At 47.2% G+C, this 18077-nt stretch overlaps 1 protein-coding gene and 2 pseudogenes across 2 annotated transcripts in view, besides 4 other annotated features; 2 read left to right on the plus strand and 1 right to left on the minus strand.

Annotated features, from left to right (window-relative positions):
• Positions 1570-2681, plus strand: VDAC3P1 (voltage dependent anion channel 3 pseudogene 1; annotated as a pseudogene).
• Positions 5111-5720: an enhancer, noted in NCBI's record as "H3K4me1 hESC enhancer chr14:100434342-100434951 (GRCh37/hg19 assembly coordinates)". NCBI's record gives its function as "activates a minimal SCP1, AML or CMV promoter by ChIP-STARR-seq in naive H9 embryonic stem cells {active_cell/tissue: H9 hESC(naive)}" and the evidence as "EXISTENCE:reporter gene assay evidence [ECO:0000049][PMID:30033119]".
• Positions 5778-6072: a silencer, noted in NCBI's record as "tiled region #1879; K562 Repressive non-DNase unmatched - State 22:ReprW". NCBI's record gives its function as "represses a minimal TATA promoter and a strong SV40 promoter by Sharpr-MPRA in K562 cells {active_cell/tissue: K562}" and the evidence as "EXISTENCE:reporter gene assay evidence [ECO:0000049][PMID:27701403]".
• Positions 8430-8479: a silencer, noted in NCBI's record as "silent region_6071". NCBI's record gives its function as "represses an Ori minimal core promoter by ATAC-STARR-seq in GM12878 lymphoblastoid cells {active_cell/tissue: GM12878}" and the evidence as "EXISTENCE:reporter gene assay evidence [ECO:0000049][PMID:35858748]".
• Positions 8528-18077, plus strand: part of EVL (Enah/Vasp-like) — a 172815-nt gene continuing 163265 nt past the window's right edge. For both annotated transcript variants that reach the window (NM_001330221.2, XM_047431464.1), the window contains exon 1: positions 8528-9163. In NM_001330221.2, the coding sequence (NP_001317150.1) occupies positions 9159-9163 (5 nt within the window). In that variant the 5' untranslated portion in view covers positions 8528-9158. The remainder of the gene's footprint in view (positions 9164-18077) is intronic.
• Positions 8620-8699: a silencer, noted in NCBI's record as "silent region_6072". NCBI's record gives its function as "represses an Ori minimal core promoter by ATAC-STARR-seq in GM12878 lymphoblastoid cells {active_cell/tissue: GM12878}" and the evidence as "EXISTENCE:reporter gene assay evidence [ECO:0000049][PMID:35858748]".
• On the minus strand, positions 11396-12139 carry RPS2P3 (ribosomal protein S2 pseudogene 3; annotated as a pseudogene).

Here is an 18077-nt window from a genome sequence, read left to right on the forward strand (position 1 = left end):
TTAAGGGTTTATTTCTCAACTCTCTATCCTATTTTTTTTTCTTTGAGATGGAGTCTTGCTCTGTGGCCCAGGCTAGAGTGCAGTGGCGTGATCTTGACTCACTGCAACCTCCGCCTCCTGGGTTCAAGCGATTCTCCCGCCCTCAGTCTCCCGAATAGCTGGGACTACAGGCGCATGCCACCACACCCGGCTAATTTTTTGTATTTTTGGTAGAGATGGGGTTTCACCATGTTGGCCAGGCTGGTCTCGAACTCCTGACCTCAGGTGATCCACCTGCCTCAGCCTCCCAAAGTGCTGGGATTACAGGTGTGAGCCACCACTCCCTGCCTGGACTGTCTATTTTATTCCATCAATGTATATACCTGTACTTATTCTTTTTCAAGACTCTTCTGGCTATTCTATGGTCCCTTGCATTTCCAGATGAATTTTAGGATCAGCTTTCTAATTTCTGCACAAAATAAAAGTGGAAGCAGCTGGGATTTTGACAGGAATTGCATCGAATCTGTAGGTCAATTTGGGCTCTCTTGCCATTTTAATAATATTAGCTCTTTCAACCCATAAATGGATATCTTTCCGTTTATAGGTTTTCTTTAATTTCTTTCGGAGTCGTTTCATAGTTTTCAGTGTACAAGTCTTACACTTTTTTTGTTAAATTCATTCATAAGTATTTTATTGTTTTGATGTCATGTAAATAGAATTGTTTTCTTAACTTCATTTTCAGATTCTTCATAGCAAGTCTATCGAAATACAATTGATGTTTATATGTTTATCTTATATGCTTGGACCTTGCAGAACTTGTTTATTAGTTCTGATAGTTTTTGAGTGGGTTCCTTAGGAATTTCTATAGGTAAGATAATGTCATCTGAAAATAAAAATGGTTTTACCTGTTTTTGTCACTAAAGTTCTCTTGGAACACAGTGACATCCACTCACATATGGTCTATGGCTGTCTTCAAGTCAAAGGCCAAGGGAAGTAGTTGTGTTCCCGGAAGCAAGTCAGGTCCAGCTGCCTCTTCTTGAGTCCCAATAATGAGAAGCAGACAAACTAGCGAAGAAGGGAATTGGCCAGGTGCGGTGGCTCATGCCTGTAATCCCAGCACTTTGGGAGGCCGAGGCGGGCGGATCACCAGGTCAGGAGATCGAGACCATCCTGGCTAACATGGTGAAACCACGTCTCTACTAAAAATACAAAAAAAAAAAAAAAAAAAAAAAAAAAAATTAGCCTAGCGTGGTGGCGGGTGCCTGTAGTCCCAGCTACTTGGGAGGCTGAGGCAGGAGAATGGCGTGAACTCTGGAGGCGGAGTTGCAGCGAGCAGAGATTGCACCACTGCACTCCAGCCTGGGCGACAGAGTGAGACTCCGTCCCAAAAAAAAAAAAAAAAAGGGAATTTATTGCTGTAACCGGATACAGGCAGAAGGCCAGAGATAATTCCACCAGACCAACTCAAAGTGTTAGAATTGCTTATACAGGTTGGAGTTATGTGCCTACGTGCAGCACAACATTCGCCTAAGTCTATTGGTAACTAATTTTGTTTCAACTAGAAGGTCAGAGGCAAAAAAAAGCTTGTGGGAGACAGGCCCTTGGGGGTGGAGGTCTTTGATTTCATAAGAACCTGAGAAAGATTTTTCTAAGATATGTGTAACACACCAACTTACTGTGACCTGGGAAAGGCTGCTGAGGATGTCTTCAACAAAGGATATGGCTTTGGCATGGGGAAGATAGACCTGAAAACCAAGTCCTGTAGTGCAGTGGAATTTTCTACTTCTGGTCATGCTTACACTGATACAGGGAAAGCATCAGGCAACCTAGAACCCGAATGTAAGGTCTGTAACTATGGACTTACCTTCACTCAAAAACGGAACACAGACAATACTCTTGGGACAGAAATCTCTTTGGAGAATAAGTTGGCTAAAGGGTTGAAACTGAGTCTTGATACCATATTGGTACCAAACACAGGAAAGAAGAGTGGGGAATTGAAGGCCTCCTATAAATGGGATTGTTTTAGTGTTGGCAGTAATGTTGATCTAGATTTTTCCGGACCAACCATCTATGGCTGGGCTGTGTTGGTCTTTGAAGGGTGGCTTGCCGGCTATCAGATGAGTTTTGACACAGCCAAATCCAAATTGTCACAGAATAATTTCGCCCTGGGTTACGAGGCTGCAGACTTCCAGCTGCACACACATGTGACCGATGGCACTGAATTTGGAGGTTCTATCTACCAGAAGGTTAATGGGATTGAAATGTCAATAAACCTTGCTTGGACGGCTGGAGTAACAACACCCATTTTGGCATTGCTACTAAGTACAAGCTGGATTGTAGAACTTCTCTCTCTGCTAAAGTAAATAATGCCAGCCTGATTGGACTGGGTTATACTCAGACCCTTCGACCCGGAGTCAAATTGACCCTTTATCAGCTTTAATCGATGGAAACAACTTCAGTGCAGGAGGTCACAAGGTTGGCTTGGCGTTTGAACTGCAAGCTTAATGTGGTTTGAGGAAAGCATCAGATTTGTCCCTGGAAGTGAAGAGAAATGAACCCACCATGTTTTGGCCCTACAATCCTTCTGTGAAATTTCAAAAGTGTGAACTTTTTACTCTTCCAAAAAATTGTAATCCTCCCCACACTGAAGTCTAGGGGTTGTGAGTCCCTCCTGAGGGGAGGCGCTGGAAAGCATGCCTGGAAGCTGTCCTGTTTGTGCCACGTTTCGGTTCAGTTCTGCAGTGTTATTAAATGTGTTCCTCGGCGACAGTGTGGTGTCATGTTAGAGGAGACGATCTGAACCTCCAGTTTGTACCTCGTGTCCTGCATGTTCACACCATTTTTTTCATGACTCTGTAATATATTGGTCTCTGTGCTATTGTGGAATCTTTGATTTTGCATCAGAGTAAAATAAAATAAACCCATCACATTTGGAACATAAAAAAAAAAAAACAAGCTAAGTCTGATTAAGCTGTGTGGGCCCCAGTACCTTCAAGGCCTGTCTCCTGTGGTACCAGAGTGATTATTTCTATCTTATCTCCTTTACAGCTTGGTCTGGAGTGCTGCCTTAGACTCTCTGATGAATCTATTCAAACAGCTGCCTCTGTTACCTTGACTCGTCTCAGATTTTGTCGACCCGAGGCAGGTCCTGGCACTAGGAATGTTAGATTCTATTATTTTGACTTGCTCCAGGTTAGGGAGAAGCCCATGCAAGGCTTCTACTGACCGTATGCTTTATTTGTAGCTTTGATGTCTGGGCACCGATTGCCCTAGGTTTAACTATTTGCTCAGTGTTAAGGCAGCGCTGTGGAAATCTGTGTAACTGGGGTGCTGTGCAGGCCTGTCTGTCGACTGTCATACAGGCCCGTCTGTGTGATTGTCAGGGAGAATTGGCCTGCCACAGTTGTGACAGACCACATGGCTTTGAAAAAGCCAAAACTATTTACCAGCTGGTCCTTTGCAGAAAGTGTACTGACCCTTGTTCTGCAGGAGTGTCTTTTGTTTTTCACTGCCTCTAATTAATTTCTTAATTTTGAAATAATGTATTTTCTATTCTCAAGATTTTTTTGTTTGTTTTCCAATTGCTCTTAGGCAAGATCTTCTTGACTCTCCTCATCACTTCTCTACGATTCCCTCCTTTAGACATGCCACATTCTGACTGCGCAGCCTGGCGGGAAGACCGTGCCTCCCTGGGTGGGGAGGCTGCAGCCTTTAAACTTCCCAACACCCCGACCCCTGACACGTCTGCTCGCATTCGGATGCCCGGGCCTCCCGGCCTCCTTGCGAATGAAGTGCCGGCGGCTCCCACAAAGGCCTGGCTGCCACAGTCCCCACGGTAATTGCGAGACAGCAGGCAGGAGAAGTGAGCGGGAAGTTTCTTCCCCAAAGCTGATGGTGAACGGGCCCCCAAGCTGGGACCCGATGACTAGCTGGGAGTGAGGAGAGATTTTGGCTTTCCTAGGTGTGAGCTGGATGGGGCTTCCCTTCCCAGTGGCCTCAGGGCTCCTGGGAAGGGGCACGGGCTCCAGGGGGACCCTTAGGCCTCTCTAGGATGGCTGGCTGGTTGTCCCAGGCATGTACTTGGCTTAGTTTTCTTCTTCAATTAAGTGGAGACATTAAGTTCCCATAAAGTGGGAACACTCAGACTTGGCTGCAGAACAGCAGGCCTGCTCCCGCCCAGCCCTGTGACACAGCCAGGTGGGAGCAGGTCCCTGGAGAAACTCCAGCCAGCCTGCCCACTGAGGGGGAGCCTCGGGAAGTTCACAAGGTTTGCAGCAGGGAGGAGCCTGGCCCCTCCCCTTCCTGCGTGGAACCCGGGATTCCGACTGCCAGGCCGGGCGGGAAGCGCTCTAGCGGAGGGACTCTGGCCTTGCGAGAGGAAAACCAGAAAATTCTGTCATGGGGCTCTGGAACCCCCATGCTCACCCGCTCCCGCCCTGGGGAGTATACTTCTGCTGTCAATAAATCTCTGCTTTTATTGCTTCATTCTTTCCTTGCTTTGTTTGTGTGTTTTGTCCAGTTCTTTGTTCAAGATGCGAAGAACCTGGACACCCTCCACCGGTAACACTAGGTCCTCCTTTCTCCTTGCAAACAGTGGCACTAAGAAGTTGCCCTCCACAAGACAGGTAGCAAAGATTTTCCCCCAGCCCCGTCTGGCCACGCTTCTTATTGATGGGTCCAGATCTCTAAGTCACCCCAGCAGAAGGCTGGAGTGCTCCCCGGTATGACTATAGGGCCCTCATCCCAGAGTCACCCCTCCTGCCTTCAAAGCCAGTAAAACATGATCTTAGGGAAATCACTTTTGAGTGGGGGAGCCCGAGAGAGGTGAAATTAAAATAAGCTCCAGGCCGGGCACGGTGGCGCACACCTGTAATCGCAGCACTGTGGGAGGCCAAGGTGGGTGGATCACCTGAGGTCAGGAGTTCAAGACCAGCCTGGCCAACATGGCGAACCCCCATCTCTGCTAAAAATAAAAAAATTAAGCTGAGTGGGCATGGTGGCGGGAGGCTGAGGCACCAGAATTGCTAGAACCAAAAAAAAAAAAGCTCCAGCTTTGACCCACAGGCCATCTTCAAGGTGTGGAAGCCAAAATGGACCAGAAGTAATTTCTATTTCCTGCCAGATAGAACACAAGCAGGAGCCGTAGTTGCCAAAAATGCCCGCGCACACAGGCTAGTGGTCTCTGACCCTCCCAGGGCACTGCTTGGGTTGGAATGGCGGCGCTCACGCAGGATTCCTTCAATTCTGCACTGTCACAAGCCCACAGGGCTGGAGAGGCTGGCAGCACAAAGAGGAATGAGACTCGCTTGCTGGTCTCATGAAGTTCACAGCCTAGTTGGGGAGCCTGCAAGTAAGAAGACAATCCCGATGCAGGAGGGCAGGCGTGTGACCCCGAAACAGTGTAGAGAAGGAGCCTGCAGCCTGTGGTGGGGGAGGGTGGTGCTGAGCGGTCCAGGAGAGACCTGACACATAGCAGGATTGAAGATGATTTGCCAGGCAGGCTGAGGCAGTGAGCAGGGCAGGAGAGGAGGCAGACACGTGCCGAGGAGCGCAAGGCACATTAAACGAATGGATGAATGAAGGAAAACTAGCCATGCTGTGTTTAAGGAAAACAACTGCTGGTAATAACTGAGTTGGGCAATGAAATTAATGGTGTGAATGAAAAAGGGGTACAGGGTCACAGGTGGTCCCCCAAACCCCTGAGACATCTGTGGTTGTCTAAGCGTGCTTTACTTTGGATTCTGGCATGCATTTGTAACTCACTTATGCTGGTTAATGTGAACCAGACATGGTCTCATTGGTGAATCATCGAAAGCAACTGTGTTTCTTTCCATTATTTGTGGTGAGTTTCGTTTTGGCAAACACTAAGCAATGGAGAAGATGGTCCATGGAGCTGGCTCCTCAGCAGTGACCCCAGGGCTGGAAAAACTTCAAGAACTGGGCAGGCAGTCCAAGGCCTTGGAGTCTGCAGAAATACATGCTCATTTGGCTCTTATTCCAGTCACCTGTGTGACCTCCTGGGGCCTCAGTTTCATCACCCTCTGGACAAGTAGGTTGGATGAGATGCCCTTTGAAGACTTGCTAGCTCTGTTATCTGTGACTCTGTGACTATCCTGAACCCAACAAACAGCCAAAATCATCTTTCCTGCCTCCCTTACAAATGGAAATTCCAGCCCAGGAGCGCTTGGAGGCATGGGTCGTCAGCCTGGCTGAGTGTCCTGCACCCACACACATCAGATGTCATGAAATCACTGACTCTGGCAAGGAAACTTTCCAAATCCTAGGACTGGTGACCTCCAGAAATAAGTCATTCGGGGGAGCCACATGTCCAAATGTTAATTTTCTTTTTATCAGAAGAATGGAAAACATGAATTCATGTACTTTTAAGGAATAAAGCCTTTGTTCAGAAAATGCAAAACGTGCCAAATAGACTGTGGTTTCAAATTATGTTTCGTTAAGGAAGAGGGGAGGGGAGGCGAGGGGGAGGGTACTGAAGAAGGGCAGAAAAGGCCTTTCTCGGGATCTACTTTGTGTGGACATCGGCATCTCATCTGAGCCTCAGCAGCACCTGCCAGATGGGCTTTAGGATTCCCACCTGCCAGAGGAGGAATGGAGGTCAGAGAGGTGTGAGCTGGAGGATTAACACAAGGAGCCTCTGACTCCCCAAGCATCCCAGGGTCTGTCAGACAAAGACCAATGCCCACTCAGGTGGAAGCAGGGCACAGGATAGGATGTGAGTGGTCCCAATCTGTCGTCTCTCAGCTCCTCCTGCAGCTCATGAAGCCCTCTGATGAACAAACATCAGCTGCAAGAAACAACCTCTCCAGGAGCAAGACGGTAACAACTTGTCAGACTTCAGGGCAGCAGGGAAAATACCTGATCTGGAGATCAGAGTGGGCCACATGCTGAAAGAGCATCAATAAACCAGGCTGCAAACAAGCAGGCCTGTATCCCAAGGTCTCAGCACAGGACTTTGATAGGCAGTGACCAGGGGTTAACCTTGCCTTTCCATAGCACAGCTGGAATGTCCCCAGGTGACCTGAGGCTTGTGCATTTTAGTAAATTTTAGGATGCAACAAGACTCTCCTGTAGCAAAGAGACCACTCTTGAACTTGTGAAGAGAGGGACAAATGAGGTTATGAGAGGGTACCACCCTCAGGGGCTGCTACCAGGGCTGTAGGAGATCATGGTACCCTTTCAGGTTTGACAACTCTGGGCTTAAACAAATACAGGAAGGAAAGTGGAGGTGCTACAACCAATCGCTAGGGAACTCTAAATACCTGTACACGGTGAGGGAGGTACAAGGAGACAGGGAGAGAGAGAAGCACATAGAGACCCAAACTGCAGCCCATGACACTGATGTTCAACCCCAGCAAACTAGAACGCATGGGCACTGGGATTCCGAGTCAGAAAAACGCTGCTTGAGACTTGGCTCCACCATTTACTATATCTTGGACAAAACTGCTTAACACACACAGCCTCTCCTCAATCCTGGACAGGAGGAAAATAGCGACCCTTCATTGCCCTCCTAACTGCCAGACGCTGACAAACGCCTTAAATGCTCTTGTTCAGACCGTTTTTCAAAAGGTAGCTATTAACGTTCTGTGACACGGGGAAGGGAGGCAATAGTGCCCATACTGGTAATGCATGAGGAACTTTGTCTTCTTTTTTTTTTTTTTTTGAGACAGAGTCTCACTCTGTCTCCCAGGCTGGAATGCAAGATCTCGGCTCGCTGCAACCCCTGCCTCCTGGGTTCAAGCGATTCTCCTTCTGCAGCCTCCCAAGTAGCTGGGATTAAAAGTGCGTGCCACCACGCCGGGCTAACTTTTTGTATTTAGTAAAGACAGGGTTTCACCATGTTGGTCAGGCTGGTCTCGAACTTCTGACCTCAGGTGATCCACCCGCCTCAGCCTCCCAAAGTGCTGGGATTACAGGCGTGAGGCACTACGCCGGGCCGGAACTGTGTCTTCTTACACACGGGGAGTGAGACCCTGGAGGATCTGGGGTTTCCAGCCACCAGTGAGATTCACTAACCTTTAGGAAAGATGGGGATTTAAAAACCAGAGACAACCTGGACGAACTACTTGACGCTGTGTACGGTAAATGTGATTTTTCACAGGCTGTGGTTCTGGGGACCCGTGTGGGCTCTTGTTGAGCTGGGGGAGATACTTCGAATACTGATATCGCCCCAAAGCTGCAACTCTCCGGCCCCGCCACGGCTCCTTATGTACAAAGAGAGGGAATCAGTCGCCGGTGACCTCGACGGCCCTCGGATCAGGGATGCCCCGAGTCCGAGCGGGCAGGGTGCTCAGCAGGGCCAGGTGATGGGAATCATGGGGCCATCGAGCACGGACCCTGGCTCCCCCGGTGGCCTCTGTGAGCTCTGGGGTCAGGCGGGGACTGGAGGAGCGTCCGCGCCGGGAGGGAGCGCACCGCGCCACGTGCCCGCCCGGCGCCCCGCCCCCACCCCGGCCACGCCCCTCGCGCTTCCCTCAAAGCCCCGCCCCTCAGCCCCGCCACTCTCGTCCGCCCCGCCCCTCGCAGCCTCAAGCTCAGCGCTCCCGGAGGCGCGGACGGTGGGGCCCCGCGCCTTTTGTGTCGGGCTTTGACCGCCGCGCGCGCTCATTCACCTCAGCGGCCGCGGGCGGAGGGGCGCACGCGCGCGCAGTCCCCTCGGAGGGCGGTGGGGCGAACAGCAACGCGCGTACCCTAGCTCTTGGCTGCTGTGCTGAGACTAGCCCGCGCGCCCGCGCGCCTCTCCCTCGAGGACTCGGAGCCGCCCGCGCACTCGCCAGGGGCCGCCGCCCCGAGTCTCAGGCGGACGCGCACGCGTTCCCGCCGCCCGGACCCCAGCCGGCTCGCCCCCCGCCCCCCCATCCCCCGGCGGCGGCCCCCAGGCACGCGCCCGCGCACACGCCGGCCCGGGCACGCGCCCGCCAAGATGGCAGGGGCCGGGGCCCAGCTGTCAGTCGCCGCCGCCGCGGCCCTTCCCCGCAGCTAGCGGCCCCGACGCCCACCCGGAGAAGATGAGCCCCCGCTGCCCCCCGCAGCCCAGTCAGACGCGGAGCCGCCGCGCCCGGGGCCGGCTCCCCCGCTAGCGCCCGCGTCCCGCGCCCCGCCGCCGCCGCCGCCGCCGCCGGGTCGCCCCTGGCCCGGCGCGCCCGTCCCCGGCAGCGACAATGAGGTGAGTCGGGGCCGGCGCCTCGTGGGAGGTGGCAGCGGCCAGCGTCGGAGGGGCTGGGCTGGGGGCCCGCGGTGCCCCCGAGGGCGGGAGGGGGGCTCCACGGGCGCGGGGGCTTCCAGAGAACCGCGGGGGCTCTGCAGAGATTCGGGGGCATTCAGAGCGCGGGAATGGCTTCGCGAGAGCCGTGGGGGCGTCTGGAGAGCCGGGAGGGTCTGCAGGGCTTGTGGGGGGCAGTGTTCTGCAAGGGGCAGGCGGCGCTGGCTTTGGCTGCTTGTGGGGTCCTCTTAGGCTCCGGGGGGCCTGCGGCGGCCTGGGAGGCAGACCCCCGCGGGCAGGTGTGGCCGTGTCCCGACCGCGCGAGGACCGAAGTTGGCGGAAGCCCCTGTGCGGTGCCTTCCAGCCCGGAGGAGGCTGGCCTGAAGCCCCCAGGCGTTGCCGAAGCCTCCCCCTGCCAGCGCCCAGAGCCGCGTTTGGGCTTTTACAGGTGTAGTTTCCCCTCGACTTGGAGCCCGTCAACCCCTTCGTCTCCTAATTCTCAACCCCCCTTTTTTTTCTTCTTGCACGCCAGTAAAGTGCAAGGCCCCCAAATGTACCGCTCGTTGATGTATCACCCAGCTCGGGAGCCTGCTGATTATCAGGCCAAGAAATAAAACCTTGCTTCTGCCAGAAGCCCGGTGCCCTCTCCCAGTCGCTAAACCCTCCCTTCCTCTCCAGATCCTGTCGTGACTTTTTTGGGGTAATCACTTTTTTTTTTTCCATTTGTAATTTTGCTTTCTGAACACGTATCTCGTAAAAACTGTAGTTTGTAACTATAGTTTCGTTTTGCCTGTTTTGTATTATTTATGACAATGAAATAATACAGTATTCTTTTGTGTCTGGTGTTTTTCAAGATGTTTTCGAGATCCATTCCGTTGTAATCGTTATTTGTTCATTTTTATTGGTCTATAGTATTCTGTTGTAAGAATATACCACAGTGTACGCATTCTACTGTTACTAGACATTTTAGTTGTTTCTAGCTTTGTTGGCTATTAATAATGCTGTTATGGATATTGTTGTGTATCTCCTGGTGCATTCATTTCGATTGGGTAGATATCTAGTAGAATTTTTAGGTCAAAAGATAAGCATATCTTTAGCATTAGCGGTAAACACCAAGTTGCCAAAGTGGTTCTACGAGCTGACATTCTTACCAAAAAATGTGTGAGAGTTCTTGTTGCTTCACCTCCTTCTCAACACTTGGTATTGTCAGTCTTAAATTTTAACCATTCTGGTGATTATGAAATGATATCCCATTGTGGTTTTAATCTGCAGTTTCCTGTTGACTGATGAGGCTGAACATCTTTTTATTTTTATTTGGTATAGTTTTCTGGAGTGCCTGTTCAGATATCTTGCCCACATTTCTCTTGGGTTTTTGTTTGTTTGTTTTGAGACGGAGTCTCGCTCTGTTGCCCAGGCTGGAGTGCAGTGGTGCGATCTCGGCTCACTGCAACCTCTGCCTCCTGGGTTCAAGCGATTCTGCTGTCTCAGCTTCCCGAGTAGCTGGGATTACAGGTACGTACCACCACACCTGGCTGATTTTTGTATTTTTAGTAGAGACGGGGTTTCACCATGTTGGCCAGGCGGGTCTCGAACTCCTGACCTCAGGTGATCAACCCGCCTTGGCCTCCCAAACTGCTGGGATTACAGGCATGAGCCACCGAAAATAGTTTCCTGTAAAATATTAGAAAGCTTACATGTGTTTTCCCTTTTACATTAAGATATATGGTTCACCAGAAATTCATTTTTGTGTGACATAATGTGAAAAAGGGGTTAAATTTTATTTTTACTTAACACCATTTTTTTCAGCACCATTTATTAAAAAGATAATCTTTTCCCCATAACTCTGTTGTACCACCTTTGTCATCTTCCAGTCTTCGCTTTGGAGTTATTTTCTTTCTGCCTGAAGAATACTCTTCAGTATTCTTTAGTGCAGGTCTGGCAACAAATTCTTAGTGTTTGTCGAAAAACATCATTATTTATTCTTCATTGTTTTCTTTTTTGTAAGTTTTATTGAGATATAATTCACACAGTAAAATGTACCCATTTAAAGCCTATGGTTTAGTGGTTTTTAGAATATTCAGTTATACAACCATTACCACATCTAATTTTAGAACTTTTTTCCATTTGTGAAGTGTCTTTTTATTAGTTTTATAGAACTCTTGGTTTGCCATTGATTTCTTTTAGCATTTTAAAAATTTAATTCACTTTATTTTTCTTGTATAAAAATCCTGCATTGTATAATAGCCATAGCTGGAGCCTGGGTTCTCTGCAGTGGAGACTCTGGTCAGTGAATTCCTAGTTTCCTAATAGGTAGACTTGGTGAATATGGTCTCCTTCCAGAGCTTGGGGATCAGATAGCTGTAGGTCTTTGAGATGACATTAACAGTGGCCTTGGTGAAGTTGCCCAGGGTGGCAGTGCAGCCCCTGACTGAGGTGTGGCAGTCCTTAATGCCAGCCATCATCAACAGCTTTTTGGGCACAGAGATCAAGATGAAACCATTGTCTCTGTGTGTAGAGATGAGGTGTACCAGCACAGAGTTGCAGTGGTCTGTCACCTTGCAAGGAATGCCGTGGGGCTTGCCAGTGTTGTCTCCTGAGATGCCTCTCTGCACCGGGACAGTGGAGAGCTTGACAAAGATGATGACTCCTTGGATGGTAGTAGGTACCGTCTTGGAGCATTTAACACCCAGACCGACATGGATATTTTAGTCCCCAATGGCAACAAGTGCCTTGAATCTGGACCACTGGCCAGTGCAAGTCTCCATTTTTACTGGCATAATCTTAAACTCATTCGTGAGGGTTGCCCCCAGGAAAAAGTCGATGATCTCAGCCTCCTTGATGGGCAGGGAGAGGAGATAGAGCTTCAGGGACTTAATCTTCATGTCCTTGACTATGCTGCCCAGTTTGATGATGGGGACCTACTCCTTGGCCTTGGCCTTGGCCTTGGCCTTGCCACCACCAGCTCCGTGGCCCCAGCCTTAGCCCTGGATGCCACTGCTGTGGCTTCCCATTTTGGGGCCTCTAGGCCCTCCCACTGCACTGGTCTCATTCGCCATTTGGTGTTTTCTTGGAGAACTCTTTTAGCATTTTAAAGCTATTTCATTATCTATGACTTAGTTTCTGTTGAGAAGTCACTTGTCAGTCTCTTGTTCCTTTGAAAGTAGTCTTTTTCTCTGGCTGTTTTTAAAGTTCTGTCTTTGGTTTTCAGCAATTTTTCTATACTGTCCCTAGTATGGATTTCTTTTTATTTATAATTAGAGTTTTTAGGGATTCTTGAATTTGTGGCTTCATGTCTTCCATTGGTTTTGGAAATCATCAGCCATAAGTACTTCAGTTATTTCTTCTGCCCCATTTTCTCTTACCTTTCCTTCTAGGGCTACAGTGATATATGTGAGACCAGCAGTTCACAACTTTTTTGGCACCAGGGACTGGTTTTATGGAAGAAAATTTTTCCTTGGGGGGTTAGGGGGGTAGTTTCCAGATAAAACTGTTCCACCTCAGATCATCAGGGATTAGCTTCTCATAAGGAGTGCACAATCTGGATCCCTTGCGTGCACAGTTCACAATAGGGTTCACGCTTCTATGAGAATCTAATACTTCAGCTCATCTGACAGGAGGCAGACTGCAGGCAGTAATGCTCACTCATCTGCCACTCACCTCCTGCTGTGTGGCCTGGTTCCTGACAGGCCATGGACCGATACTAGTTCATGTCCAGGGGTTGAGGACCCCCATGTTATTCCATTTCACTATATCTTCTATGTCTCTTAACTGTTTCTCTGCATTTTACATGTTTCTCTCTCTCTTCTTTATTCTGGTTATCTCCTTCTCACTGTCTGTCTCTCTCCATCACCCCTCCTCTGCTGTATATAATCTGCTATTAAAACCACCCATTGAGTTTTTAATTTCAGGGTTTTTAAAAATTATTTTTAAATTTCTTTTTTGTTTTTTATTTTTATTATTTTTCAGAGTCTCATTCCTTTGCTCAGGCTAGAGTGCAGTGGCTCAGTCATGACTCACTACAGCCTTAAACTCCCACCTTAGCCTCCCAAGTAGCTGCAGCTACAGGCACACGCCCCCATGGCCAGCTTTTATTTATTTATTTATTTATTTATTTATTTATTTATTTATTTAAGTGACAGGGTCTTGCTGTGTTGCCCAGGCTGGTCTCAAACTCTTGGCCTCCAGTGATACTCCTGCCTCAGCCTCCCAAAGTGCTAGGATTACAGGCATGAGCCATTGTGCCCAGCTGATTTTTATATTTCTATTTGTTTCTGTTTTATACTTCCAAGCTATCTGCCAAAATTATCAGTCTTGTCTTTTACCTCCTTTAACATAGTATGTGTAATTATCTTAAAGTCCATGTTCAATTATGGCAATCTGTTAGTTGTTTCCAGTGTCTGTTTCTGTTGATTTTCATTCATATTGTCTTGTCTCCTTATGTGCCTAGTGTTTTTTTTAATGTGTGGTAAACATCATATTTGCAAAATTATTTGTAGGAATAATTTGAGGCCTAAGATGATGCTTTTTTCTTCCAGAGATAATTAATATCTGCTGTTATAAGGCACATGGGAGCACTTACAATTGGCGTTGCCTTCAGTACAGTTTCAGGGATTGAAATATCTCTAAGCTGAGCTGCAGTTCTTGTGAAGACAAACCTGTTCTGTTCACTTTTCCTCCTAATGTTCTCTTCTTCACCAGCACCTTTACTCTCCACCCCAGCGCCAATCTTTTAGCATTCCCTTCAGAATTGATAAACACCCTTCAGGAAAATTAGCCTCAAACACTGAGCTCACTTTCTCAGGCTCTGACTTGCTTTCCTCCCCCGTGCCTCCAAGCAGGTATTTCTTACATTTTTCCCAGCGTTTCTAGTTCTTTTTAGATGGAGGATTGTTCTGATTGTTCTGATTAGTCCACAGTTACTATCAGTAAAAGTCCCTGATTTTTGCATTTTCAGGAACAGTTTGAGTCAATATTCAATTCTGGAGATTCATGCTACCAGGTTATGGAAGCTGTAGAGAACAGTGACACCTATTTTCTTGTGTTCTGTCCTAATTGTATTAGATTATCTCTGCCAGTTTGTGAAATGCTTTTGGAATCAAGATAACTTTAAGAATAAGTCTTTAACTCCTCTTAATAAATAATTAATTGAAAAAAATAGCAGTTTAGCTCAGGTCATTAAAACAAAAGATTTGGGGGGCAGGTACTTTTATCTCCTTTCCATGGTTCCTTTCTCCTGTCTTGATTTCCTTATTTATTTGATAAAAATTATGCTCTAACCAGTCCTCCTGAATAGAAATTTAATTTATTTTTTATTTTTATTTTTTAGATGGAGTCTCACTCTGTTGCCTGGGCTGGAGCACAGTGGTGCGATCTCAGCTCACTGCAACCTCCATCTCCCAGGTTCAAGTGATTCTCCTGCCTCAGCCTCCCGAGTAGCTGGGATTACAGACATCCGCCACTATGTGCGGCTAATACATCGTATTTTCATCCGCCACTACGCGCGGCTAATATTTTGTATTTTTAGTAGAGACGGGGTTTCCCTGTGTTGGCCAGGCTGGTCTCAGACTCCTGACCTCGTGATTCGCCCACCTCGGCCCCCCAAAGTGCTGGGATTATAGGCATGAGCCACCGTGCCTGGCCAGAACATTTAATTTTTGAGTCTACAGTAGCATAAGAGCATTCTCAGATCTCATTCTTTGGGATCTAAAAAAGTCATGGATGGCTGGGCACGGTGGTTCATGCCTGTAATGTCAGCACTTTGGGAGGCCAAGGCAGGCAGATCACCTGAGGTCAGGAGTTTGAGACCAGCCTGGCCAGCATGGCAAAACCCCCATCTCTACTAAAAATACAACAGTTAGCCAGGCGTGCTGGTGGGCGACTGTAATCCCAGCTACTCAGGAGGCTGAGGCAGGAGAATCACTTGAACTCGGAAGGCAGAGGTTACAGTAAGCTGAGATCTTGCCATTGTACTCCATCTTGGGTGACAGAGCGAGACTCTGTCTCAAAAAAAAAAAAAAAAAGTCAGCAGGGTGCGGTGGCTCACGCCTGTAATCCCAGCACTTTGGGAGGCCGAGGCGGGTGGATCACGAGGTCAGGAGATCGAGACCATCCTGGCTAACACGGTGAAACCCCGTCTCTACTAAAAAAAAATACAAAAAATTAGCCGGGCATGGTGGCGGGTGCCTGTAGTCCCAGCTACTCCGGAGGCTGAGGCAGGAGAATGGCGCGAACCCGGGAGGCGGAGCTTGCAGTGAGCCGAGATCGCGCCACTGCACTCCAGCCTGGGCGACAGAGCGAGACTCTGTCTCAAAAAAAAAAAAAGGCATGGATGTAGAAATAAAAGTTCTTAAGTGGTTTTTCCAGAATGAAGAGCCATTTTTCTTTTCTTTTTTTTAAGTCAGTCATTTTTTACACAGATTTTTAAAATTGCTACAGTTTAACCTGGTTCTCCATTGCAGACTGCTTATAGTTGAATACCTATACGTGTATATTTACCTGTACCTGAAGTACTTGGCTTTAGTACATGGATTTAAATGAATCCAGGGGGACTTTTCATTACCTTTGTTGTCAGTTGATTTGATTTGATTATTTATAAGCAATTTGGTTTACCTATGATAACACTTTCCTTTTTGTTCAGTCCTAAATTTTTAAAATGAAAGTAACGTATTATTTCTCTTGATAGATACTGTCATGAGAGTACGTAGATATGACCTATTGCTAAAAGTCTAGAATGTAATATCCAAACTGTGTTCCTTTTGGAGCATCTCAGGAAGCCATAACGCTGGAGATGCATTCTAACAAGTGAGCTAAACACTCGAGGCACATGTCCACTTATTTTAGCAAAAAAGTACTATTGAATCGACTTATTCAAATAAAGAAGTCTAAGTCTCAGTTTTTCTTTATTTTCTAGACTACTGCCTGAATTCTTGTTTCTCTTTTTCTAACAGACTCTATGTATTTTCATATTTTCATTGAGAAATCGTTTTTTGAAGGCTTACTGTTGTCTGGTACTGGATTAGATGGGGTAAGGAGGTGTAAGGAACTAGACACTCCCATCCCCCACTCTCACCGCCCATACACAAATAATCCCCATACCTAAAAGATTTACAGAAACTTACTAAATCTTTCTGCAGTTGCTAAAAAAAAAACAACAACAAAAAAACCCACCCACATATACACAATATGCAATCTATTTCTGCTTATATATTCGAGTCATTTATCTATTGGGAACATTCTCTTCTGTGAACATTTTCCCTATCTGCTTTTTTTAAAGATTTAGATACAGAAGTTAAAAAAATTTTAGGTCATTAAGTTTTGTTCCTGATGATTTTTCCATATTTCTGACATTTAAGTTATTGTTTTTCTAGAATTTTAATTATTAAACTTTTTTTTTTCAGTTATATGTGAAGTTGGCCCTCTGTGTCTGTCGATTCTGCATCTGTGGGTTCAACCAACCTTGGATGGAAATATTTTTTTTAAAAAAAGGATGGTTGTGGCTGGGTGCGGTGGCTCACGCCTGTAATCCCAGCACTTTGGGAAGCTGAGGTGGGCGGATTACGAGATCAGGAGATCCACACCATCCTGGCTAATATGGTGAAACCCCATCTCTACGAAAAGTACAAAAAATTAGCCGGGCGTGGTGGCAGGCGCCTGTAGTCCCAGCTACTCGGGAGGCTGAGGCAGGAGAATGGTGCGAACCCGGGAGGCAGAGCTTGCAGTGAGCCAAGATCGTGCCACTGCACTCCAGCCTGGGCGAACAGAGCGAGACTCCGTCTCAAAAATAAATAAATAAAAATAAATAAATAAATAAAGGATGGTTGTGTCTATACTGAACACGTACTGATATTTTTTCTTGTCATTATCCCCTAAACAATAAAGTATAACAACTATTTATATAGCATTTGCATTGTATTAGGTGTTATAAGTAATCTAGAGATGATTTAAGGTATATGGGAAGATATACCTGGGCTATATGCAAATATGACTCCATTTTACCTAAGGGATTTGAACATCTGCAAACTTTGGTATCTGAGATGGGTCCTGGAACCAGTCTCCTGTGGATACTGAGTATGACTGTATAACAGTTTTAAAAATTCATTCTTCAAATGGTCTGAAATATGAGATGGAGACTTAAATTATATTTTTCTCAAAATTGCTGGTCAGATACTTGATCATATCAGTAGTTTATGTGGTAGAGATAACAGCAACATTTTCTGGGTTGGACGGCCGTGCAGGCATCTGGATCCCAACATCCCGGGGTGCATGGTTGTGGCTGGTAATGCCTACATGAGTGAGAATCACCTCTAATTCTCAGAAAGTTACCTGCCTCCCCCGGGGCCAGCCTTGTACATGTGAGGCATGGCCAGTCCAGCCTGTCAACAGGTCTGGTTACGAGCCAAGAACCGCTTCATCTGGGCCAAGGGCACTTTATTGATATTGGAGTTCTACAGAATGCAGTGTGATTACAGAATACAGTATAAAATACACAGGTACAAACAGTCTCCATTTCTCACCCTTAGCCTATACTAGCTATCACAGTTGGGTCCAAATATATTTCTGAACCCAGTGCTGCAAATTGCAGGTACGGGGCATTTCCTAAGGTGGCTTTTGTAAGGGCTATAGGGATTCCGTGTGTATCTTTCCAGGCTCTCTTGTTCTGTCTGCCTGTTTTTAGGCCTATGCCATTACCATATTTACCTTGTGGGCAGTGATTTTAATTTGAGCGGCATCATTGATTAATGTTATTTTGAATTTTGCTGGTTTGGTGATTTTGTTTGTATTTAATTTATAAGTTTGTTTTTTGCTTATCTAGTTATATAAACATAAGACATTTAAACTTAGTTTTATAGTTGTGTATATAAGCTGGGTGTGGTGTCAC

This window comes from Homo sapiens, chromosome 14, assembly GCF_000001405.40.
Source record: "Homo sapiens chromosome 14, GRCh38.p14 Primary Assembly".
Classification (NCBI taxonomy): Eukaryota; Metazoa; Chordata; class Mammalia; order Primates; family Hominidae; genus Homo; species Homo sapiens.